General features: G+C 37.1%; 2 protein-coding genes across 35 annotated transcripts in view; one reads left to right on the forward strand and one right to left on the reverse strand.

Moving 5' to 3' along the window:
- Window positions 1-16,139, forward strand: part of SLC4A10 (solute carrier family 4 member 10) — a 360,855-nt gene extending 344,716 nt beyond the window's left edge. For 12 of the 27 annotated variants that reach the window (NM_001354461.2, NM_001354447.2, NM_001354441.2 and 9 more), the window contains 4 exons: window positions 5,118-5,185; window positions 7,629-7,745; window positions 8,591-8,629; window positions 14,048-16,139. In NM_001354461.2, coding sequence (NP_001341390.1) covers window positions 5,118-5,185; window positions 7,629-7,745; window positions 8,591-8,603 — 198 coding nt within the window. In that variant the 3' untranslated portion in view covers window positions 8,604-8,629; window positions 14,048-16,139. The remainder of the gene's footprint in view (window positions 1-5,117; window positions 5,186-7,628; window positions 7,746-8,590; window positions 8,630-14,047) is intronic. The other 15 variants (XM_005246694.4, NM_001354445.2, NM_001354443.2 and 12 more) reach the window with 2 other exon arrangements.
- The window catches only part of DPP4 (dipeptidyl peptidase 4), an 81,971-nt gene continuing 77,608 nt past the window's right edge, over window positions 23,114-27,476 (reverse strand). For all 8 annotated transcript variants that reach the window (NR_166822.1, NR_166825.1, NR_166824.1 and 5 more), the window contains 3 exons: window positions 26,169-26,241; window positions 25,830-25,903; window positions 23,114-24,253 (listed from right to left, as the gene is read on the reverse strand). Coding sequence is in view for 4 of the 8 variants with exons in the window: in NM_001379605.1 (NP_001366534.1) it covers window positions 24,152-24,253; window positions 25,830-25,903; window positions 26,169-26,241 (249 nt within the window). In the remaining 4 variants the exon portion in view is untranslated. The remainder of the gene's footprint in view (window positions 24,254-25,829; window positions 25,904-26,168; window positions 26,242-27,476) is intronic.

Below are 27,476 nucleotides of genomic sequence, written 5' to 3' on the forward strand. Positions count from 1 at the left end.
TTGTCCTTTTGATGATAGATACAAGCTTTTACCTTTAGCCTCCAGGGTTTTCCTATCAGTAGCCCATTTCTGGTCTTATGGCACTGAGAAAACATTCATTTGACCTTAAAATTCAATAATGAGTTAAGCAGAATAAATAGCTACACAGGCCAGTCCAAGGTCGCAGAGCTTCTGTTCCAAATTTTCATGTACTTCATGCATATGCATATGCATATGCTTCAGTTTTTAGAAAGAAAGGATTATAATCAGGGTAGAAATGAATATTGGAACCCTGACATTTTGCACATTGCTCTGTGTAAAGGGAAGACTGCAGAATCAAATTCTGGATGTCCAAATGTGCTCAGAGTACCAACATGCCTTCCTTCCTACTTAAATATTCTCTAGGCCATTGTACACATTTGACAAAAGGCTACTTACTGTTAAAGGCAGAAAATCCCAGCAGAATGTTTGCTCCTGGGTAGGAGGAAAGGGGGTTAGTGTTGGATAAATCCTAGAAATTCTACTCTGTGGAAGTGATCATGATAGTGATACTTCTTGATTTACTGGGGCTTCACTCTTAACATATACACTATAGGAGAAAACAAAAAGAGGGCAAATGGGACCCTGTGATCCCAATGCAGGATCATGAAAAAGGTCAAGAAAAAAGCAATCTAAAAACAAGTGCAACTAAACAAATTACAGAGGACGACTTACTGCTAAGATAGGTCAGAATTGGTTATGGATTTGGGAAGCATGGCCAAATTATTACACAGACAAATGTCATTTCTAGCTGAATCTTAGAGTGGGGCAAGCATATTCTTCTTCCATAAGCAGTGGTTGCCCAAAGTGTGGTTCCAGAACCACTGCCACATCAGCCAACACCTGGCAACCTAGAATGCAAATTCTTGGGCCCTACTTCAGACCTACTGAATCAAAACTCTGGGGATGGGGCCAACCATCTCTGTTAATAAGACCTCTGGGTGATTCTGGTGCTAAAGTTTGAGATAAGTCCTTTCCTAAAACCACAGAATAAAATATAGTCTTCTAAATACAAGGATACTCTATCAGAATTTTTTACTTACAATAATTTACATGATTACTTAGAGACACAGAATCTAATATTCTGATGAAAAATATGTTACATTTATGTACTGATATGAACTCTATATAGACTCTCCATTTTTCCTTTTCCACTCTCATTGTTAGTTTTATGTATTGGCTCTTCTATCCATTGGAAATCATAAGTAATACCTATTATAAAAATAACACTTATGGTTTTCAAAGATTATATATTTATGTAATGTTTGCAGCATTGTCTATTCTATTAGTAGTTGAGGAAGAAAATGGTTTGACACTTCTACTTTCTGTAGACTTTGTTTTACTCTTGGGCAAAATAAAAGGATTGAGCTTGATTTCTGAAGAGTATTCCATTTCTTAAGACGTGAATTCTAAAATTGCTGAATATTTTCCCTCTCTAACACTCTAAGCATATTCGTGAATATTGGTCTCTGTTGCCGTTGTTTGTACTTTAAGATATTTGAGGGCTCCTACATAGATACACACTTTGCCTGAAAATGGATGTAGTTGTAAATGAACCTATTTCACTAAAGGTAATTAAAGGATAACTATCTTTGTTATTTGTTAGGTATCGTGATATATGAATCATAATTGTAATGCTATCACTAAATACAATTCAAACTCATGATGTAATTCGATATATAACACCCTGTTATCAAACCACACCAGGATTTGACTTCAATTTATCTCTTCCGCCTCTACTCAGCACAGACTTTTGGCTCCAGCCAAGCTCGTTGTTCACTGTCATGCAAACACATCTTATTTATTCCTCATTTTATGGTTGGCCTACATTGTTTCTTCCCACCTGGAGTTTCTTCCCACCTGGAGTTTCTTCCTTGCTACAACCTTGACTTTGGTACTTTTCATAATGATCACTTAAATTTTCTGAGAGTCAAGTTTATAGCTTTCTTTTCATTATTACATACCTAGTACCTAACAGACTACCTGCCATTGAATGGATTAATTAATAGCCCCTGGATTATTCTTCTTGTTAACTGTGTGCATAGCACATAATACATGCTCAATAAATATTTGAGTGTTCTGGAGTAGATTTGTTTTTCTAAGCCTCAATTTTCTTGTCCTGTACTGGACATAGCATTAATTGTCCTTCACTTATTTTATATCTGAAAACTGCTTTGGCTGTCTTAATTAAAAGGTGGCATTTAAATCATAGCATAAACGTCCCTCTAGTTAAATCAGTGAACTCTCTCAAAGGTTCTTGGGTATTATGTATTATTCTACCTTTCATCATCATCCCTGTAACATCTTCCCCATGTTGTAGAACCCAGCATGCTTTTAATGGGTCCTATGTAAATTAAGAGCTGAATGAACTCATTTTAAGGTATTTTTCTGACTTCTAAGCTGGCAACTACTCAGTTAGCTTTATGCTCTCGCTGTCTCTTTCTTCTCTGATCTGATTGAGATAACCTAGGTTGTGGCTGTCGTGACGGCTACTGCCTGATTTGACTGCTCCTCCTCAGAAAGCCTCAATTTTTGGCTTTCTCACAGTGCTGCCGGGATGCAGCCGGCCCTCCATCCCCGCGCTCCGGGGCCCACCCAGCTTCCTTCTGGCACTGAAGGCAGCGGCTGCTCTGCCACCCTTCTCTTCAGATAAGCATGGCTTGGAAAAGCTATCTTTAGAGGTGATGAGTTTTTGTTTGGATAGAATTATGACTAGTATAAAGCCCACACATGCTAACAAGCCACAGAGTGCAAAATAATTATTGAAAGCAATTTGAGAGAAAAGTGGAAAATCATCTGAAGAAAAAACAAAATTTTTCCCAAGCTTTGGTCCAATTTTTTGCTGTTAGATTGAATCTTGAACATTCGTTTTCTGCTGCCAGGTAACCTAAGCACTGACGGCACTGTTCTTCTCTTCAGCTTTTTTGCATTTTACTCTTTCTTAAACCATTCTACCTTGCTTCTTGACATTTTACTCTTGATTGGCCAGAAATGATATCATATACCAGGCTTCACCTTTCAGTGGGCAACCAAGAAAAGAATTGCATCTTTCTCCTATCTTGTCTTACTTAATGTAGCTTTTGGTACCACTGAGTGTCTACTTTTTATGAACCTCCATGTACCTTAAGATAACCTTTCCTAAGGAAAAAGGAACCTTTTCTACCTGAAATGATACATATGCTCTGCCCCTGACCGCCAGGATGTGCCTACAATATATATTATGCATGTAATATATTTCATATATTATGACTAACTCAGCTGTAAGGCAAGCCTCAATCTAGGCTGCAGATCAGCTCTGCTAAAATGCTTGAATGAGTAATTTCAAACCAATGGTAATCTCCATTCACCTTGATTTAGTTCTAATAGTGTGGCCAAGTGACAAGGAGAATAGGCATAATATACAAGTAGAATACATTTGATAGGCCCTAAAAGAAAATTTTTTCCTTGAAGAACAGCAAAGAGAGAAAATAAAATTAGTTACTGGAATGCAAAAGGGTAATGTACATGCCATTAGCCTCACAGAAAACAAATACAATATAGAGTTTCTGGGGAAAGCTTCTAAGCAGGGAAGTAGCAGAGCTCATGCAGTCTCTGGCATCTCCATTATCCCGAATCATAGGGTGGGCACAGAGATTCTGTATGCACCACAGCAGAAGTCCCAGCAGAGAGGGGCTTTCCTTGGCCAGCATGGGAGAGTACTCCAAGAGAGAAATGAGATCTGCTCCCACATTGCATTGTATCTTCATAGGTTAGCTGAAGAGGCACTAGAAAACACTTGTTTCTTTAGGTAGCAAGAAATGTGGCATGGAATATTCAGACTATGGGATATCTGAGAGCGGGCCAAGGTCTGTTTACCAAGGACACTAGGAAAAGTCTTGCATGCCAGGAATAATAAAATCAGCCAAAGGTCAAGGTGTTTCCGGAAGCTGGGTCAGGCCAGCTTAGCCCTGCTAAGCTACTGAAAGAGGAAATGAGCCTTCAGGGCCATCCCTTTTTTCTTTCATCAGTTTCCATTTGGGCAGGGGGTCAACTAGTTTTTTATGTTTATACATCTTAAAATTCCATTTCTGGGGTTAGAACCAATAATTCTAACATTTTTAAATGGCCTGAAGTATTTCTTTGAACTGACCCATTTTTAAATAAATGTATTAAATAAAAGCTATAATCTATGAATAACTTTCTGTTTTTGTTTCATGGAAAAAGTTTGATGATAACATTATTTGAAAACGAAACCAGAATTTTCCAGTATGGTGGCCATAAGATTATCTTCATCCCAAAGATTTAGTTTTAAAATCCTATGTATGAAGAAATGCATGTATAAATATAAAAATCATTTCCACCCTTTGAGGAAAGATGGAATATTGTCATTATAAGAAGAAATTTGAAGCATAAAACAAAAGCCTAAAACACATCCAAATGGAGTCAAACCTTCCATTTCCTCCTCTCTCAAGACACATCTGTGTTTTGATCCATACAGGAAGATATTAATATCTTCTACTGTCTCTTTCCAACTCTCTAGAGTAGTGGTTCTTTAAATATGGTCACCAGACCAGCATAATCAACATCACCTGGAAACTTGTTAGAACTGGAAATTCTTATGCCCACTCTACTCCAGACCTATGGAGTCAGAACTTCTGGGGGATATTGCTAACAAGCCCATCAGGGGATTCCGATGTAAACTGAAGTTTGAGAAACACTGTTCTGAGTACATCCCTCATCCTCTCCTCATAGAGCATTCTGGGAATATAATTTCACCTTTATAACAATAAAACTGATTATATCACCCATACTTTTTTCTTATAAAATTTAGATTAATTTTTAAAAAATATGCTTGGAAATTAACATGTTTTTTATTGAGTGACATGAAGGAGATTGTTGTTAGCATTTAAATTACTTTGTGTTATGAGACTCTCATTAATTACTTATGTTCTTGGTAGCTGATACTTTATTGAAAGGACCTGTGCTAACATTAATAAATGCAAACAGAGTGGAAGGTCTTGAGGTTAATGAGATAATGAAACATTAATCTGTGTTTCTTCTTTAATGTAAAATGGAGACTCATCAGGTTCACTTTATATACTTTACATTTGTCTTTTCAGGAAGAACAAAGTATGCTAGCTATGGAAGATGAGGGCACAGTACAACTCCCATTGGAAGGGCACTATAGGTAAGACATAAATTTAAAAACACATCAATTAAAGTAATGAAATGCATTGTTATATACTTTAAGAATTTCATACTGTGTAGATCCTCAGAGAGGTTTCTTGAAATTGTATAAGAGTAGAAAGAACGAAGAGTTAGATAACATGGGTCCTACTGCTAAGTTTTGCCAATAATAGCCGTGTGACTATAATCAAATTGCATTAAATGAAGTGAAGCAGGAAGCTGTTGTCTGAAGTTTTTCTTGCTCCTGTTTTATAATGTGTATGAAAAATCCCTTTCATATTCTCAGAAAGTAGCACCAGAAGACAGATCAAGGTTCCTTTTTTGTATAAGTGACTAGTTATTCACTAAGTTGATCACAGGTAAATGTTTTAACTCTGGGAATTTGCCGCTAAAAGTGGAATTTCCAATGACATAATCTATTTCTTAAGTGATTCAGTTGTATCAGTCATTTTAGGATATATTTATGCAATTCTCCAAAATTTTCTAATCTTCTTTATGTACAAAGACATAGCAAAAGAAAGCAAACTACTGAAGTTATAAAGAAAACATTTGCAAGCATTTGGCCCAGAATTCTCCCCTCTCTCTCTCTTCTCTGTCTCCCTCTCAATATAGTTTAGTTTAAACGGTTATCTTGTACAATTCTAAGTATCAATTAGTGCCCAATTTTATAGTCTCAAAGTCTTTATGAATAATTTAAGGTTATGCCAATAAAAATACAGAGAATACTTTTTTATGAGAAGGGAATTTGTCATAGTGTTAAAAACCAAAATAGGAGAGAATTTTCTAGATCTTTAGGGTCTGACTCTAAGATTATATTCCCTAGAATTTAAGAAAATGTGATTACCTCCCTCTTAAGAGGGGGCACAACTATAAGATGTTTTATCTTTTTTTTCTTTTTTACAACATTTAAATTTTAAAATCCTGTTGATTGTTTAGCTGAACCAGCATATTTCCAAGTGTATTAGGTAGAAACCTAGTCTTGTGTGATACCACTCTCGAAAGGGCTGTGTGGTTAAATAAGTTTGAAAAAATGTGCCAAACTGCATTCCAGTTTGGAGATTCACAATGCATATTAGCAAATGAAACAATCTAAGTAGTACTGCATTTTAAAAAATTGTATAGCTTCGTTCAATCAAGTATTTAAAAAAATCTTTTGCTCAGAAGACTCTTCCTCACATAATATCATGAAAAATGTCTATTCCACATGATGCTTTTTTTAAGAAAGTAGTCAATCTGGTGCTTTGAATTACCAGGAAACTATCTTTCTAGGAAGACCAAAACAGCTGGAGGGTTTAGAGGAACTGAAGAACACATTTCCAGATTGGGCAAGAGAGGGAGACCCAAGGTTTTGTTCCTCTTAAAAGTTGCATTTGTTCCTCTCCTGTGACCTATCACCAATCAGGGTCATATGAAAAGGCGGCATTTGAACAAAGAAGGGGCAAGGTTGCTCCATGTGAAGGGACATGATAAGCAGAGGGAAGAGCAAGGACAAGGCCCCCAGGCAGCACCATGCCCATTGTGTTCCAGAACAGTCAGGAGGCTACTGAAATGGGGCTGGAAAGGAGTGAGCAGGGATGCAGTGGCAGGAGGTGAAATCAGAGTGAGGTGGGGACAGAGCCTTTAGGCCATTATAAGGACTTGGCATTGACTCTGAGTGACTGGGAGCCACTGCAAGGTCTGAGCAAAGGAGGGAAGTGATCTGGTTGCTATGATGTTAGGGGCAAGCGTTTAAGCAATGGACATGCGGAACCCATTCTCTGTAATTTGAAATGAATTAAGAATACCACAGGCCAACTCAGTATCTATTCAACTAGAATATTTTCTTTAGTTTTTTTATTTTTCACAGATTGTTTTCAATAATTGAGAGAAATATTCAATACTTCTTCATTTTTAATTATCAAAAATATTGTACAATAAACAAAATGGGGCATACACATACAATGGAACATTATCCAGGTTTAAAAAGGAGGAAATTCTGACATATGCTACAACATGGATGCACCTTGAGGATGTTGTACTAACTGAAATAAACCAGTCACAAAAAGACAAATACTGTATGATTCTGCTTATATGAGGCACTTAGAGAAGTCAGAAACCTAGAGACAGAAAGTGGAATTATAGTTGCCAGGGACCGGGAACAAGAGGAAATGGAGAGTTGTGGTTTAGTGGGTATGGAGTTCCAGTTTTATAGGATAAAAAGAGTTCTGGAAATGGATGGTGGTGATGGTTGCACAACATTATGAATGTATTTAGTAACCCTGAACTGTACTTTTAAAAATAGTTAAGGTAGTAAATTTTATGTTATGTGTATTTTACCACAATTTAAAAATTGGGAAAAATATTCTTCATAGATATATGATTGCCCTATATTTAGTTTCTGTCATTGAAAAACTGCAGTTACTTATGTAATGTTTATTATTTCATTTGGGGAAACTCCTGTCTAGAGATGATCCATCTGTGATCAATATATCTGATGAAATGTCAAAGACTGCCTTGTGGAGGAACCTTCTGATTACTGCCGATAACTCAAAAGATAAGGAGTCAAGCTTTCCTTCCAAAAGGTTTGGATTTTAAAATAATGAGAATTTATACTAATTCCAATTGTTTTTTGACATAAACCATAAGCAAAAGAATAATATTAGTTTCCATCAAATTTAGATATAAAATATTCCAGAAAATTCTTTCCAAAAGTGGGTAGAAATTGTAATTATTTCAAATGTTGGTATGTTTTTCATACCAACTGTGGTATGGGGAACTGTGCTAGAAATGAGTCACAATGCATGACATTTTTGGACATTCATCTTGGCCTACTGTTTTTCAGTATGATTTTATTTTATTCCCTCATCACCCACTTCCCCCAGGACCCCTTTAGACATCTGGCCACATTTTGCACTCCTTTATTTTCCCTTTTTTAGACTGATATGCACTGTGTGTATTTTATATTTATATTTTATAAATATGCATAAATATTTATATTTAGTATAGTTCTAGTCCTGACTCCAACCCCCTGAAAGTCTTCCCTAAACTTCTTATCCCAAAACTTTCAACTCCTGAAAGTTCTATCCATTCTTTCTTCTCTGTGTGTAAATGTACAAACAACTCCTGTAGTTGTGGATGGTAGTTTTAAGTGCATGCTGGAGGAAGAGTGTGTCCCTAAATATCAACAGTCATCAAAGGATTTCCAAGTGAATCTTCTAGGATTTATAAATAAGAGTTCAAGTCACCCAGTCTTCTTAGATGCTGATCTGAAGAAAGAGGAATTCCTATGTTATGCTAATATCTCTTTTTGTTAGAGAGTGATTGAGGGAATTGGGACAGTGTTTACTATAATTATAAAGTTCCTTTATTTTCGTAACCTTAAATTAACTTTTTCTACTTAATTTTTATATTACATTTTTGTCATAAGCTCCCCTTCCTAATCACTCTAGAAGCTGATTCCCCAAAGGTAAGACCCTCTCCCTCAAATCTATTCCTTGGTTGCATTTCCTTATGTTAAATGGTGTCTTCTAGAAACCTGGTCAGTCTATGTCCTCTGTGTGAGTTTTGGGGAGGCAAAAGGCATGGAGAGTGTTGGGCTCAGATCCAGTAGCAGACTGAGTTTGATGATATATCTGTAACAACTCAGCTCTTTAAGTTAGTCTGAAACTTGAATAAACTTTATTCCTTCCTTGATTTATACAGATGCATCATGTATAAATCAACAAGTTTCACAGAACTGTAGTTAGTAATGGCATCAAATTTCTGGATAGGGAAAATTAAATTTGTCCCTGTAAGAAATTGAAAAGCTTGCCTGGTGTGGTGACTCATGCTTGTAATCCCAGCATTTTGGGATGCCAAGGTGAGCGGATCACTTGAGGTCAGGAGTTCGAGACAAGCTTCGTCAACATGGTGAAACCTTTTCTGTACTAAAAATACAAAAAAATTAGCCAGGCGTGGTGGCGGATGCCTGTAATCCCAGCTACTTTGGAGGCTGAGGCAGGAGGATCGCTTGAGCCCAAGAGGCAGAGGTTGCAGTGAGCTGAGATTGTGCCACTGCACTCCAGCCTGGGCAACAGAGAGAGACTCTGTCAAAAAAAAAAAAAAAAAGAAAAGAAAAAGAAAAAGAAAAAAGAAAGAAAGAAATTGCAAAGCTGAGAGCCTCCATTATGTACCACCATGCCTCCAGACTGGCAAGCCGTATCTCACTTCATGAGACATCACTGGAAACATGGGCAAGAGAAAGAGGCTACATTAGACTTAGAGAATATATCTCTTATTGCTGGTTTTTGTCACCCCAAAATGGCATGCTGCTTCAGTGTCATCTCTATACCAAACAGTATAAACAAGACGAGACAAACAGCAAGTGCATAGAATCTTCATCCCCGAAGCTGGGAATTAGTTCTCTCTCTCTCTCTGTGTGTCTCTCTCTCAACCACCTTTAATATTTACTACAAATGAAGATAATATATTAATAAATTACTCAATGGGCTCCCTCTCAAAGACTTTTGGTTGGTATTTTCTGTCTTAATAGGACTTTAAAACTTTCATGTATTTCTTTGCTTGGCTCAGGACAAAGTAACATTTTATTCTAAAACATGCTTTAACTTCCTTTCTCAAAGATCCTTGCTACAGTCTGATAAATATTTCTCATAGTAATTCTCTGTTTTGCTAGTACTTTTGAAGAAAATCAGAATTATGAGAAGGGCAGTTTCTCAAGCCCATTGAAATGTGTACTTGTCACATGAAAAATACGACATTTCTCTGATTTTTTAGAAAATGTTAAATCCAGGTTTATGAGCTCAAAATAAAATGCCCTTGATGGTCAATGTGTTGAGAATTTGAAACAAACCTGTAAAAAATTTTCTTCCTGTATTATATGGATTCAAAGTCCAAACTTTTCCTCTATTTTTCTTTGGTTCAAGCAAAAGTCTTGTGACGTGATATTTTAGCTACTCCTTAAAGTCAAGTGATACTTTTCACCAGAAAAATCTTTTTGTTTTAAAAATATATATCCAGATGACTTCACATAGTGGGTTGACTCTAGTGAACAATATAATGTGCTTTAAAGCAGGTCCAATTTTCAATAGACTATCCTTTATATTTAGATATAACCACTTGTTTCTTATTCTTTAAATGTACTTTCACTGACGTGAGGTTCAGACTATTGTGGAATGAAAGTTTATCCAGCTTTCCTTACCTTTTGATGTGATCGCATTTGTGGTTTTCCATGTGAGAAACATCTTTTGGTTGGTAGTTAATCTCTTTTATCCTCATTACAGTAGAAACTCTGGCAGAAAGTGTATGACTTACAGAATTCTAAAACTACTGATACTAATAAGGCTCCCAAAGCCACTTCCTTTTTGTGGTATCTGTTAAAGGCTTTAAAGCATCATGACCAGGAACTGTGAAAATTTAGTACGTGGTAGAGTATCCATTGGCAAAAAGAGACCCAAAGAGCAGGTTACTAAGGTCTGAGTCCTGAGCTGGCACCCATGCAGCCTTTGACACCCCCCATTCTGAGTTATTTTCCATCCTGTGCTGTAATGTGTCAGAGAAGCCTAGAAACCCTTTTTTCATGGAATTTTGAATAGAAATTATATTTTCTCAATTATATCATTCACTTTTTGTTGTCAAAAATATTTTATCTCGTTTAACTGACAGTAGAATCTAAGAACTAACGGCAAATTCTGTCTTATCTGGAGGATGTCTAATTTTGATCCTGATGTCATACATGCATGTGACAAGAGCCTCTGCAGCTTATTAAATGGGCTGGTGAAAATAGGGCTCATTAACGACCACATTGCATCAGAATAGGTTAGCAACTGCTACGTTTTTTAAACTGATGCCCAAGATCAGTGTGTCTGGAGGTCCTTGGCAATGTTAGGAAAAGCAGCACTTAGCTTTGCCTTGGTGACAGAGGCTAGTCTCTGGGACTATCCGCTCTACCCCCCAACACCCACCCCTGCACTCCCCCACCACCTTTTTCTATCCCAGATTCTTTCTTTGCTCTGATTGCCTAGGCTTAGGCTCTCTCATGACTTCTTGGAAATATTATTCATAAAAACAACTTTAGCCTGGGCGTGGTGGCTCAGGCCTATAATCTCAGCACTTTGGGAGGCCGAGGCGAGCAGATCACTTGAGCTCGGGAGCTCAAGATCGGCCTGGCCAACATGGTGAAACCCCATCTCTACTAAAAATACAAAAATTAGTTGGGTATGGTAACGCACACCTGTAATCCCAGCTACTCAGGAGGCTGAGGCAGGAGAATCCCTTCAACCTGCGACGTGGAGGTTGCAGTGAGCCAAGATTGTGCCACTGCACTCCAGCCTGGGCAACAGAGCAACACTCTGTCTCAAAAAAAACAACCACTATTTTAGTGACATTAAAAAGTAATAGTTTCATAGTTTACTTAGCATCATGACAGTACCAGGTCACTTTTTGCCCTCTTGAAATATTACTTCCTTATATTTTAAATTTTAACTCCTCAGGGACAGGGACACTCTTATCTATCTTGTACTCCTAGGTCATTATGGAGTTCCTGGCATATAATAGATATGCAACATATGTTTATTACAATGACAGATAACAGATGCATAATACATGTTTGTTACAATGAAAGCTTAAAATTGATTGGCCTCCACAAAAGCGAACTTAACAAGTAATTCCGAACAATGGATCCTAGAGGTCTTGAGCTGGTTATAAAATTTCTGCTTCATAGTTTGCTGAAATCTAATCTGATACCAAAACTATGGTTATGATGAAGAGGGAAAAAAACCCAGACATTTAATAGGTTATTGTTTTGTAACCAAACAACCAAAGCAGAGTCAGGAGGAAGCACATCTATGGATCAAGTTGATATTATGAATCTTTTTATTTATGACTTGGTGACTAATAGTGCCACTTGGCACACATTCATTTATCAAAAGGTTATGGAACACCTCCCACGTTTCAAAGTATTGTGCACACAGTAATTGCACATGTGTAGAGACCAGTATATCTCTGTCCTACAATCTCCTACATATAGGATCTGTTATTCTATCTTTCAAAAAATAAGAGTTCATTGGAATTGGGAATACCAGCCTCAGAATTCTGGAATTCTCACTACAAGAGAGCCTAGAGGCCATCTAGTCCAAAACCAATTTTACAGATGAAGAAACCAAGTCTCAGAGAGATTAAATAACTAGTCCAAGGTCATGCAGCTCATTCTGAGTTTCTGAAAACTGAACCTAGATCTTCCAACACCAAGCCCAGTGCTGCCCTTTTTCATTGACTTTGTTTGGCAAAAGAGACTGGAAGGCAGGTAGAGCTTAAGGAAAAGTTAATTTGGAAAGCAGGAGAGCATACACTTGTCATATAAAAGGAACTTAAAGTAGAAGAAAGTGAGTCATACAGATAGAGGAGTTAAAAATACGAGTTAGGGCTCTCAACACATCATGTGCACACTGTCATCTTTTCTCATGGAAGGAGAAAAGAAAAGGGAGGAAAGTTGCTTTGCTCTGACCTGTAAGTAGTATGTGCTGAGAAGTGTGGCAGGCACAAACCCGGGCGCCATAGACACGCGCTCACACCAGCTCTCAGAGCTGGCAGCGTGCCACAGATGGCAGAAGCTCCGGCACTTCTTACCTGATGGTGCCGGGTGGTGGTGACAACTGAGAAGGGCTGTTTCTAGCTTGAATTGGAGGAAAAACAATTTAAAAAACACACTCTTAGAATGTGTCTAAGTTATTGACCACTTAGAAAGTTGTACAGGAGGCCCCATAGAAAAATGGAGTTTTATTACTTTATTACTTGGAGAAGAGTTATAAAACCAAGGGTGCGGTCCATTGTCAAGTGTTTCATAAATTTATATTAAGGGCCGAAGTTAACAGTAAAAATGTATGGATACTTACAGCCCAGGGCCTCAGTAGCTGGCTATGGGCTGCCCTTTGTGTCAGCAGTGGGGAGGGTCACATAGAAGCCTCAGATGAGGAGGGTTTTGCTGTGTGCTGCAAGTATCAGGGAGAAAGCATTTCTGCCCTCTCTGGAACATGGTGTGAACTTCATCCCTGTAATGATATTGTTTGAATTTTCCATGAAAAATTGTCAGCATGAGAGTAAGAAAAGTGTACGATGGGAAAATATTGAACCAAACAGACAAAAATGGTAGAGTCACATGACCAGTTTACTCATTGGTAAAGTTAATGAGAGGGTGAGATTAAACAGAAATTGGTAAAGTTAATGAGAGGGTGAGATTAAACAGAGGGTGAGATTAAACTTGGGAATGAGTTTGTCTGAGGAGTGAGGTGAAGCATCATTCCTCTGATGCACAGGGTAAGGGTTTGTCTGTAAAGAGATAGCACAGGTGTCTGGAGAGCAGCGTGCATGGTAACCTGTCCTCCAGGCCAGTGGAGCTGTCTGTCTAACCTGGCCAAGGTACAGTCTTCATCAAAGGTCAGGATCCAGTCCATGCACAAGGGAGGAGCCATTTGCAGCAGAGCCCAGAAATGCCTCCTGCGACATCTTGTTTGTGTCATTTACTAGAGTTGGCACTGTCTTAAGATGGGGGCATGGCTGACATTTTCAACTATCATCAGTGAGTCACTTGCCCAAATGAGGACCATGGTATTAATCTTGCATGTTTTTGGAACTGTTTAAAAAATGTCTGATTTTTGTTGTTTAGTGTCTGTTTTTGAATTTCCCCTTCTCTGCAGTTCTTGGTTTCTATCTCACTGAGTGCAGAGGATTTTAATTGTTGCTGTCTATCTGTGCTTCGCAGCATGAGAGAGCAATGCCTACGGGCTCTTGTGGTGCTTTGGGGTTGACGGGTTTTATGTCTGAGCAAGCAGATGTCATAGTAGCCATGCTGGATTGCAGTAATAAATGTGTCCTTTTTTTCCTTCTGTAGCATTGAAAGCCGAAAAGAGAAGAAAGCTGACTCAGGGAAAGGTGTTGACAGGGAGACTTGTCTATGACTCGATCTTCAATTTATTTTTTACATATATATGAGAAGAGTGTCACAATTATTAATAAAACTGCTTTGATCATGTATTGTAAATTCTGTCCCTCAACCCAAATCCACCTTCATACTGTAAGTAGTGCAATACTTGTTTCATTTCTGTGTTTAAACTTCTGAGCAGTGAGACATCCCTGTGAGCAGATACAATAGCCAATGCAAGAATCTGTGTGTTCCTTGCTGTACGTTAGACATTTGTAAACTGGATTCTGATTGTCAGTTTTATGAGAGCAATAGCTTCCTTAAAGAGATAAGTCATATTTACCTAGTTTGTATTTTCCTACTTTAGTGACCTGAAGATGCCTGATAATTTCATTCAGAAGAATTTTTGAAAGGTAGTCTTACTTCTTTTTAGTTTTTATAGCTTAGCATTAGTGACTTATTTCAAAAGACCCAAATCAAAAAGTTAGTTTGAAAGCATTTTTTAATAATTGTATTTATGCATTTCCTTGATTTAATATGATAAATTTAATACTTAACAATTTATATGTAACTAAAACTTAAAGTCATTTGAAAAATATATAGAAACCTATTTACAACTTGTTAAGGACAATCAGACATAATGCAGAGTTAAGTAGTATTTGCTTAAAATTCAAGTTGTGACTAATGATCAAATACTAGGCTTGTACGAAATGCTTTAGAAAAACTTTGTAACAGTTTTGTGGGATTTTTCAATATAAACCTTTATCAGAAATATACTAAGTTTGTCTCCCACTGACAACAGATGTTTTCCAAATAAACATATTCTATACATACTTGTGGAATGCCACATGGTGAATCATTGTATATGAAATTCCACTCCTGTACAGTTACTCTGCAGCTAATGGTCATGCACTGCTTAATGCTGGTCCTGAATCATGTTCTCATGTTAGACCAACAGCTCTCCAATTGTCATTTTTTTTCTGCAGAGTTTTTTTTTTCCACTTTTAAATTAAATGCATGTTGTGGAAAAACAGTCTTTTAAAATGAAATTTCAGATTCCATTTGAGAAGGTTCTGTAGATATTTCAGTCCATATAAAATAATACATCTTTACTAAACTTATATAAGGGGAGAGAAAGTTATGAAGTTTTGGACATTACTAAAAGTACAGTATTTGATTTCACTTTCAATGAATGTGAAGTTAATAAAACTAAATCTCATAATGCTCTTGGTTCCTAAGAATGAGTAGTAATCATCAACTTTATAATACTCCAATATTCCGTTTTATAATAATTCAGAGCCCTGTGGCTTTTACACACCGTTAATTATGTACTCTGTTGGAAGTGCACATGAAAAGTGAAGAAAAGTTCCTCTTGTGATTAAACTAATGGGAGGAAATAAATCAACAAAGTCTCCATTAAGTTCTACATTTTGAGACCTTTTAAAAATTCCCCTCACAATTCTTTAAGGAGCCCCCCTTTTTATGGAACATGAGCCTAAAAATTATAGAAAGAAGAATTTTAAGTTAATAAAGTTTGTATTTATAAATGCTGAAAAAATACAGAAACTTTCTGTTCCAAATGTGTTGCCTTTGTGTATTTTATAATACAGATACTACATTGTAAACATTTCCATTGTTTTATGATTTAGCCAGTGATTCCCCAAAGCAGCCTCTTAGTGTTTTAATATATTAATAACTGTTTTGTTAAAAATGATCATAGTGAATTTAAATCTTCACATGATCACCTATTTGAATAAGCAATCATATCCAATGAAATTCTGTATTTCTGAGTATTTTTATAGTCATTTTGTTCTTGTGTGAATTTTAAAGCTATCCCTATGTTAATCCTAATATTTTGAAATCATATAAAATATAATAAAAATGTAGTATTATATATTTACTTCTAATTTCAGATTCCTGGTCAAAATTACTAAATATCTTGAATGTAATTTAGTGCCAAGTTTAAATAATGTGTAAATGTGACTAGGATATTGTGTTTTTCACAATTAAGAAATGTTATGTGGAAATAAATATTTATCCTAACTTCCTTGCACATTTTAAATTGTGATACAAAGTGTCTTGTCTTTTTTCTTTGTTTTAATTAGTAAATCAGTGTAAAACATTTTGATTGTTTGAATATAATATTTAAATTTAGACAGCCCCAAAGCTAAGAACTCTTGGTGATGTAAACAATTTATGAGTATGTTTCAAGAGTAAACAATTTGAACTTTATGAACAGAAGATTATGAGAACTATATAAAGATATATTTACTCATTTTTCCAGAAATGGGTGCAGATGACACGGTTTCTTATGCTAGGAAAAACCTCCAAGGTCGTTAGTAGTAGTATTCCTCATTATTAGAACTCTATTTAGACTTCCGTTTTTAACTTCCATGGGGAAAGCATTGCCTAAAATTTGTCTCCTCCCTGTTTCTTACAAAAGTCAGATGGGACCATTATTCTTTGGTAGCCATCTGGCAGTGTGTTGTGGAGATAATTGCATTCAGAATTCTATCTAACCTACTGCTTGGTATTTTTCTCTTGACTAGTGAGTTTACTTTGTAATTGCTCCTGTTTCACAGCCTACAATATTGGAAAGTTTTTTTCCTGTATAATATAATATAGGAATATATATATTCCTATGTATGTATAGGATATCCTATATATCCTGTATAGATGAATGTCTCCTTGGTATAGTTTAAACCCGAGTTTGAAAGAAACTCTCCACTGATGATCCAAAAGCAACTTGTATTTCAACATGATTCCTAGATCTTTTTGGATTTTTCTTGACTCTTAGAAGTGTGACTTACCTGTTTTCTATGGCACTGACCTACCTCTGTTTTGGTTTAACTTTAGCCTATTAGCTCCTGGGCACTTGTCTATTTTACTATCATTGCAAGATTGCTCTCTCATTTTTCCAATATATTAATATCTATCTCATATATTCACACAATGAAATGAAATGAGATTACATCCATTTGAAAGTTTTATGAGAGTCATTTGGATAATATGATGGTTCTCTAAATGTCTACATCAAGAGGCTAATTGTAGTTAGTCCCCTTGAAGAGGCTTAATAATCAAAGATTACTGGTAATACTTTATTTTAGAGATCTCCTTCGATGTTCTTCATGGAATGCTGTGGCTAACTGATACAACTGTCACACCAATTCCGTTCCTGTTGGTGTACTGGGTACTATCATTTCTGCTGGAACTTTGAAAATAGGACTATGATCCTTGCTTCTAAGGGCAGGGTGGATACATAGCTGTAAATAATGTGATATGTGCTGAGTTGGCCATATGAGTAAAGCCATTTTTTGAATAGGGCAGAGTTTGACGAAAACATTATAGTAGAGGTAGCATGTGAATTAGAATGGAAATGGGGAAGGAAATGTACTCCAGATGTTGAAGGAACCCCTGCCTACTAGGCCTCTGGTCTAATGAAGTATGACCAGAATGACTCCATCTTGAAGTGAAGAGCTAGAACACTCTTAAGGCACCTATAAGATTAATGCTTGTGGTCTGAAAATAGCCACTTTCCAAGCTGGCTACAACCTATTATTACAGAATATTTATGACCATACAGAGCATCTCCCACCATGCCTGCAGAATGTCCCTATGTCCTAAGAATTCAGCCCTCCTTACTTAGAGATAACGTTAATGAACAAGCTTAGGTTAAAAGATTAAGGGTCATGTAATATCAATGACACTGAAGGCCCCTGCCTTTAGTGAGCACATAGACACATTCCAAGTTTAATTGTAGCTCTTTGTAACTCCTTATAAAAGTAGAGGCGCTAACAAAGGACAGGGCATTCCTCCTTTTGCTTTCAGAGGATATCCCACACTGTAACGAAACGGTTTCTGAAAAACTTACTTCTTCCACTATGCTCTGTGGCTTTCCTTGAATTCTCTCCTTTGCAAGATCCAAGGACCCATTTTTGGGGTCTGGATCAGGACCCCTTTTCCAGCAACACCGGAACTACAAAGATTCTCAAACCTATGTCGGTATTGAAATAAAGATGAAATTTAAAAGTAAAGCTATATGGCATAACTAGAGCCTGGCATATTTTATGTATGGCATATTTGGAACCCAGCAAACAGCCCAATATGGTGGAGTGTTAGAAGGGTAGTGAAGACTTGTAGGAAAAGACAGAAACACAAGTCAGAGACATTACAAATGATGTTAAATTCTATCCTAGAACTGTTGGAATTTTACCCATTAAAAGTTTTGAGTAATGAATTTTGAAATGATTAATAGAGCAGCACAGTAGAGAATATAGTGGGGAAACAGTGGAATTGCCTCCTCAGGGATCTCCCTTCCAGGATGACTCTCAGATGACAAAACTAAGTTTTCATGATCTATAAATTTCTATTAGGATAGAAACGAAACAGGCTCAAGTATACTCCTTAGGTACCTAACCCGTAACTCTAGACACAATAGCTTAATTATAATTACTTTTATGTAGTGCATTCCCTTATATATGGAGATTTTATATATATATATATATATATATATATATATATATATATATATATATATATCTTCATAACAATGCAACAGTTCTGTAAGGTAGGTCTTTTTGTACTTTTTACAAATTAAGACACTGGAGTTCAAAGAGCCTAAGTATTGTTCTTTATATATATATATATATATAGCACATATTTGTGTATATAGTTACATTTGAAAAAAAAAAGTGTTCTGAAAAGCACAGTGTCCACAGCAAGCCTGAGACTGTTAAAGAAACCTAAGTGTGGTGCACAGTTCAGACAATGACTGCTTCATAATAATCCAGAAACCACCTTCTCTCCGCCCAGCCTTGAATCCTACCCTACATTCTTACCCTGGATTCAGTTTTCTGTCTGGATCCTCTTGCCTTCCGGTGTGTGTAGAGTTAAATATTTTTTTCATGTGACTTCTTTTTTCCATTTATTTATAAACTCCTTGAAGGTAGGGATGGTGTTTGGTGTTTTGCCCCTCTTTTGTAACTCTCCAGAGCCCAGATCTGTGCTCTGCTGTTTACCCAGCCAGCAAAGGCTCTTGATATAATAAGTAAAATATACCAGAAGATCCTGCTGCTCAGTTTATTAAGAATGATTAAAAGTCCAAAAAGAATTGTCACGGACATGTCAGTATTGGAACACAGCAAATGCTTAATGAGTACCTTCAAGTGCCCAGCACCTGAGGACACAGAAGACTAAGGCAAGAATCTGTGTAATCTATGGAGCCATTAAGAAGCAGCTACATGGTTGTGACTAGAAGGAGGGAAAAGGTGAAAGGAAGGTGTCAGGCATTGTATCTATGTAAATCTTCAGAGCAATGCAACCAGTTCTGTAAGGTAGGTCTTTTTGTACTTTTTACAAATTAAGACACTGGAGTTCAAAGAGGCTAAGTATTGTTCTTTAAATGTTCCCCATTAGTGAGTTGGTGGTACTGAGACTCTAACCCAGGTCCAACTGACCTCAGCTGCAGGGCACTGTGTCTCCAGCAGGAGGTGAGATGTGACCGCCTTCCTCCTTATCAGGTTATTCATTCTGGCTCATGGAACCAGAATCAGGTTATGATGATTAATATTTCTGCTTAATATGTTACATTTTCTTTGCCACCAATCTTTCTGTTATTAACACTGGAAACCAAACTTACCCAGTGAAACACCTTTTTTGCTCATGAGTCACAAATATCAGGACCTTGGATAGAAGAAGCTTAAAAAATAAAAAGGGTTTTTGATTGTTGGATGGTCACACTTCACACCACACTCACACATGCTTTTTAAATAATTTGAAGAGTGGGTTCAGATGAAAGACTATATAGAATAAGAATTTTTATCGAGTTTGTTGAGGCTTAAAGCCTGTAAGCACCAAAAAAAAAAGTTTTCTCTCAATTAAGGAAGTTAACTATTAATTCAAATTCTTGGGTGTAAATGTTAATATTGTCACAGAAAGAAGACTGTGCAGAAAGATGATACATTTCTATGGGCCATAATATTGGTCCATTCATACCATGCTCTGAGCTTTCCTCATGGGATAGTGATGTTATACTTTGTTTATGTATTTATTTATTTATTTTGAGATGGAGTCTCGCTCTGTCACCCAGGCTGGAGTGCAATGGCGCGATCTCTGCTAACTGCAACCTCCGACTCCCGGGTTCAAGTGATTCTCCTGTCTCAGACTCCCGAGTAGCTGGGATTACAGGAGCACACCACCATGCCTGGCTACTTTTTTGTATTTCAATAAAGACGGGGTTTCACCGTGTTACCCAGGCTGGTCTCGAACTGGGCTCAGGCAATCCACCCCGCTTGGCCTCCCAAAGTGCTATGATTACAGGTGTGAGCCGCCACCATGCCTGGCTGTGATGTTATACTTTATAACCCACACTTGTCTATTATTCTCAACCATCTGTATCCCTCAGACATCCTGAATACACACTCTAGGTCACTCAGGATGTACACAAAAGAGTTCTTGGACGCTGCTGAAATAACTGCCACAGAGTTGGCCAACAAAATCCTCTTACTTTATGGAAAAAAGTCATGCTTATGTTTTGTTGTGTTTTCTATTTAGAGTTTATTGAATCATAAATATTGTACAAATCTAGTAGTCTTATAAATCAGTATTCTCACATCAACTTCGAGCAAAAGTAGCAAATGCCAAGAAGTGGAACTGGTAGCCTCAGTGACTACCTGTGAATAAGAAAAGAAACAGAAAATATGCAGAATGTCACGAAGCCCAGTATGTTCATTAACTTTTATGGTAGTGGCTCTGAGTTATCAAGAATGCATTGAATTATATTCTGTGCCTGATATTTAATAAAGTATGAAGGTATGTACTCATATTTAGCAAAATTTCCAACAAACATGTTAAAAAATAATTCATAGTGATTTTCTAAAAATCTTGATAGAAACTTAAAAAACCAACCCTGTATCCATAGAAGAGATGTAAGCCATTTCTCCCTTCTTTTCGTGTATGTGCCTCTGGGCACTGGTGTACTCTCACAGGTTGTTATGAAAGGAGTCTTAGCCATTCCTGTGTCTGCAGAGGCTGCAGCTATGAATGTCAAGACAAGTCTGCACATCTTAGTGGTATGACTGGTTCCTGTATGTTTTAAACTTATTCTCAGATTAAGTTTATCTCTAACTTATTTGTCCATTTTCTTCTTTTTTCCATAAGCTAATTTAAAACTCTCATTGGAAAGGAAAACTTGTCCTATGAGGGTCAAATGAAAACTACTTCGACTTTACTCACATTATTACTTTTTGCAGCCTTCAATGCTTGAAAAATATGTGCTGGGATTACCTCACTCCAGAGAAAATACTGCACATGCTTAGAAACTAAAGAAATATTAATCCATATCATTTTGATATTGTATAAATATTAAATAGTATCTGACTTAGATATTACGATTATAATATCTGACTTGTATGATATATGATGTTGTACAATATCTGACATTGTACAATGTCTGGCTTCAATTAAGATAAAAGGAGAATTTCTATTTAATTTGCTTTTATGACTATTAATGCTGTCCAGGATGTGAACATATATTACTACCGCTTCTTGATATACAATTCTGCAAAGATTGATCCAGCTACTCACAATGATTGAACTGTATTAAGAAACAGAATTTTGACAAGAAGAGTCCTACAGATTGGAAGGTCAGTTTGTGGTTCCAATGGAGGAGTGGGAGTTGAGATTTAATTAAGGTGAAGTGACTCAATGGCATGCTCTGAAGCTGTAGTTGAAGATGGATTTCACAATCCTCTGTCCATTCCTATGCATGACTCACCAGTCTCATGTTCAATTGGTAGATTTTTTTTTCCATTTCTTCCATTTTTAGGTTTTTATGCTGTAGCTCACCCTGTCTGGGAAAACTTTGTCTAGCAAATGGTCTGAAGCTAAGTTTAAACTCATAAAGTCAAATTTTTAAAAATGAGGCTGTTTTGCAAATAATTGAAAAAAATGATGTTTTCTGTTATCTGGATATTGCTTTGCTAGGCCAAATTCAGCATTTAAAATTATTGCTTTCGGTCAGATGTGGTGGCTCACGCCTGTAATCCTAGCACTTTGGAAGGCCAAGGCGGGCGGATCACCTGAGGTTAAGAGTTCGTGACCAGCCTAGCCAACAGGACAAAAACCCATCTCTACTAAAAATACAAAAATTAGCCAGGCATGGTGGCACGCACCTGTAATCCCAGCTACTTGGGAGGCTGAGACAGAAGAATCGTTTGAACCCAGGAGCCGAGATCATGCCACTGCACTCCAGCCTGGGCAACAGAGCAAGACTCTGTCTCGGAAAAAAAAAAAATTTATGCTTTCTTTTTTTCTTTTTTTTTTTTTTTTTGAGACGGAGTCTCATTCTGTAGCCCAGGCTGGAGTACAGTGGTGTGATCTCGGCTCACTGCAACTTCCGCCTCCCGGGTTCACACCATTCTCCTGCCTCAGTGTCCCCAGTAGGTGGGACTACAGGCGCCCGCCACGATGCCTAGCTAATTTTTTGTATTTTTAGTAGAGATGGGGTTTCACTGTGTTAGCCAGGATGATCTCGATCTCCTGACCTCGTGATCTGCCTGCCTCAGCCTCCCAAAGGGCTGAGATTACAGGCGTGAGCCACCATGCCTGGCCACTTTCATTTTTATAGTAATGTCAACCACAAATAGTCAACCACTTAAATAATTGACTACTTCTACTGAGCCATAAGAACTGCCAGAATGATATTTCTGATCTTATTCGTTCTTATATAAGCCTCATCATAGTTCCCTGGAATAAAATTATAAATTGTGTATGATATAAGTAACTAAAATTAGTTTAAGTTGATTTCTCAAAAGCTGTATGTATTTATGATAAGAGAAATTGCACATTATTAGGCAAAAACCTATGAACTGTTTAGCTTAACACATTTTTATATATCTAATTTTTTTACCAAAGCTGAACTCTTTCCATGTTTACAAGGTAGTCTGGGATTACTAACAAAATAAACAAGAGCCTTTCTAGATAAATGTGTCCATATGCCAGTGCGGTTTAGGTCTTATTCAAGACACAAGTCATTACTTCTGAAAAAATGAAGGCACATTTATTAAATGACTGGGAGAAATTCCATAGTATGTAGAATGGGAATAATAATACATAACATTGTATTTTATGTTCCATTTTTTAAAATGAGTCCAAGGAAGTTAAAATATTCTTTTAATTAAGACACTCAAAGAAATGAAATAAGAAAAATTGATGCAAGGACTCCTTCAAGTTAAGATTTGTGATACAAATATTTTCATCTTTTAACAGGGCAAGCTGATGTGTTCACATCTCAGTTTCAAGCTGCCTCTTTCACTAGGAACATCAGTATTTTTTTTTAAAAGCACATTTACAATGCTTTCCCATCACCCTTGCTGTGTTTTTGTAGCACCTATAGCCATAACTGGCACCTGGGGGCCTGCGTTGCTGGCAGTTTCCCTTACATTTCTTTGGAGTCTTTTCAACTGCTGTGGTTTTACTTAGAAGTCAGTGCTTTGCATATTTGATTTCCTGAGACTGTTTGAATAGTCTTTCTCAGAAAACTGTGCCAGTCTGGCTGTGAACAGCTCTTCTCCGAGGGGAGCTGACAGTAGCCTGCTCGTGTTGGTATGCTTGGACTTGGGTTCCCAGCCATGCCCTGCTATCTTCTCTCCCTAATCCCTCTTATCCTGTCCCTGCCCTAGTGACATCACTGCCCACATCTTGCCATCCCTTTAAAGAAGAGAACAACATTTGAACCAGTCCAGTTAGAAAAAGATTAAAATCCTGCTCAGGGAATCTATGCAAAGCCTCCATAAAAACAATTCCTATTTGTTGTTTCAGCAGCTGATGCAGAAATGATTTTAAACAATAAAACCCGACCGGATAATTCAAACTTCTGTAAGGTAATAATCTGTTGTGAAGACAGAAGTCCCTACTTAAGATGATAGGTATGAAATTTGGGAACAAAGGTAACCTTAAGTTTCTTGATTTGAGTGTGTATTTTAAAGATCATCATCATCTTGACAGTGCAGTTTTGAGATAATGAAAACAAAAATGAGTTTTAATAAGCTTTAAATGGCATGGTATTTTGAGGTGCTAAGGTAAAGAGAAACATTGTTTTATGAAGTGGCTCATGTGGGTATATATATGTTGGTGTGCTGTGCTGCTAGCTATTCCATGGTCTTCATCAGTATACCACTAGAGAGAGAAAGAAAAGAAGTTAGAATTAGGAAGTCAGTACTCTTCTTAAAAAAAAAAATACGTAAATTCAAATGAGCTCTCACGAGCATACATGGTATAAAACAGAGTGTTTTAATTCCTGAGGCAGTTTATAAACTGAAACGGGGTCAAAGAGGGGGTCTAATTTTCCCCCAGAGCTTTTCCAGGGCACGTTGTTCTGTCCTGCAGAAGTCTCTGATCCTCTTTTGCAGGTGCTGAGAGAACTCACTGTGAATTTGGCTTTATTGAATAGTGCTTTAAAGATACGTACATTTTAATTAAAACACCCAATCCATTTCCAAATTTGACTCAAAGGGCGCTTACACAGCATGCATGGGAAGGAATGATTATCCCATTAAGCCCACTTGTTTTAATTAAACTGTTATCAAGTGTTAAATTTCTCTGTACTCTAGTAAGATAAACTGTATTAAACTAAATGATTTTTTTTAAAGCAATATTGCCTAATATATAGCACCTAGAAACTGGAAAAACTCTATTTCAATATTACATATATATGTTTAATAGAAGTGAAGTCAAAAATCAGATGTATTATTTGTAAACACTTAGATTTTAAACTGGTATTTTAAGAAATCTGTGTATTTGACATTTATGTAAAAGGAATTAATGATCTGGGACAAAAATTTATTGATTCATACCTTGTTAAATAATTGGGAAGTCATTACCGGGCAAACATAAATTATGGAGACATAAGTTAACTTTAAAAAAAGCTTAATTAAAGTAGCATTTGTCTTTTCTTTGAATAGTAGAAAAATAAACTTCAACCTCTTATAAAACACTGACCCAAAAGATAGCCAGTTTTTCTCAGTATCAAGTAACTGTCCCACTCCTGTGCATTGGGCACCATTTGAACTGAGCACAGAGCAAATCATGTGTGTTAGAGGACACATAAATACATATACATACATGCACACATTAAAAATACGTTTTCCTTCATCTGAAAATCTCTAATGCAGAAAATGAATTTGACATAATACGTAGAAATATCCTCTGCATAGACAACAACAGCTCTAGCCATTCCTGACTTTATAAAACAATCCTAATTGTTTATCGCCTGTGGTTATTCAACAAAAGATCACCTTGTAATTGCAAAAACTGAAGCATGCTGATTATTAAGATCCCACTGTTGTTAGAATAGCTAGTAATACATACCAGACAGAAATGGATTTTCATATTTGAGCTGAGCTATTATCATGCTGGTTTCACTTTAGAATTACTCTGCCACACATTTACTGAACAAGTGATTACTTTTGAATCAAAATAGGGAGAGACTGAACAATCACATGAACAGGAGAGCAGTGTCTTGATACTCCCAGCATATGCGATATTGTGCTTCTTAACCCCAAACTCGCTAATATTATTGAGCATTACTCTGTGCATGGCTGAAGGATACCACTCTTCTGACTTCACGTTGAAAAAAAAATTTTTAATGTTTTTATTCTGTCCTGTCTGTGGCACTGCTAAAAGAATTAGCCCAGAAAGAGGAAACTAGACCCCACCAGCAACTTCCCTCCCCTTGCACAAAGTTTTTCTATACCATTGCCTGGAAATCCACTCCAACATCGACCAGGGCTTTGGAGATCTGAGCTGACTGCTGAAAGTGAACGTTATCTGCAGGGAGAGAAAGGAAACATAAAGTAGCTAATAGCCACTCCAGTTTTCTGGTACCAAGGGGTGGGAAAGGCACAAGAAGAAAGGGACTGTTTGAAGTTCTAGGACTCAGCATCCCATTTAGCCCAAGACAAGTGACTTGTGGAAAGCAACACTGTTTTATTGAAGTAAATGTAACAGTCTTGCCCCTCATGCTTTTGTTTTGTCAGTAGTGAAATTGCAAACCTGTCTGTGATACTAAAAAGTCTAATTAACTGAAACTCACCATCTGCTGTTCCATGAATAAGGAGGTACTCAACTTGTTTAAAATTTTCAGCTCTGCTCATGACTGTTGAATTCTGGAATTGGGAGAAAGAATGTCATTATTCAAAAAAGGATCTGCCATAAACTGATTTTTCACTTCAGTTTACAAAATAAAATGTTTTCAGCTGGGGCCCCCTTTGATACAAAATATAGCAAACCGATATTCAAGCAAATGCTGTCTCCATGCATGGCAGAATGCACAGCATGCCCTGTGCCTGGGAGACAGGACTGGAAGGGAGGATGCCACATCTTCCCTGAACATGCAGGAAGAGGGCACCTGCCACCCAGCCTGCATGCAAAACCCCTTGAGTCCCAGATCCCAGATTGGCTGTGTCCTATGCATTAGCACAGGGCAGAGTCTCATATTAGTAATGTATGTTCCATGGGCTTCTGCTGTAGTTCAGCCAAAAAGTGTATTGCCATGGCAACCATGTGTCACATGGTGCCATACATGCTACATTTCAAAGAGCCTGTACATAGCATTTGCAACTAAACATACTCTGCAATATGTCATGTGAACTTTGGTCCACATTGCTGAGCTCTGAATGAAAAGCAAATATTACCTCTTTGGGAACAGATGTTAAAAACCTAGGCAAATGTAACATATGGGAGGGGAAGGGGGTAAAAAAGATCAAAAGTGGCCTTAGAAAATCAGTGGGTTGCTGTTGTCTGCCTCATTCTGTCTATTAGAGGAGATACTATTTGATCAAGTCATACCCAAATTAGCCAAGAAATAGGATAAAAAAAAAAATTGGGAAGTCAGCTTTTTGAGACTGCTATGTGGCCTGAGCCAGGGCTCCTAGAATGAGGGTCAGGAGTCTTGGATGAAAAAGCCATTTGAAATCATCTAAAGCTGGTCATCTAATCTGAATTTGAGGATATTTACCAAAGTTGGGATGAAGGTAAAAATGCCATAAAATACTGTAGTGCCTTTGGGAGGGGGTGAGCTAGAGTCTACTTTGATGGTCCTGTTATGTGTTGGGCAGGAAAGGGGCAGCAGCATCTCCATGGGTTTAAAAGCAGCCAGCTCGTCCTGCAGCATCTTGGTGAATCAAATTCAACTTTATGAAAGCCAAGGTTTATATTTCACAGATATCTCTGTAGCTCATATCAGCTTATATTTTTGATGGGAACCTTGGTGGTCTGGCAGGAAGGGGATGGGGCTAAAGTAACAGTGTTTGTATTCAAGTTCCAGTTTCAATATCAGTGAGCTATGCAACTGGAGGTATGCTGCTCCTTGAGCTTTGATTTCTATAAGATTGGAATAGAG

Source organism: Homo sapiens, chromosome 2 (assembly GCF_000001405.40).
Source record: "Homo sapiens chromosome 2, GRCh38.p14 Primary Assembly".
Lineage (NCBI taxonomy): Eukaryota > Metazoa > Chordata > Mammalia > Primates > Hominidae > Homo > Homo sapiens.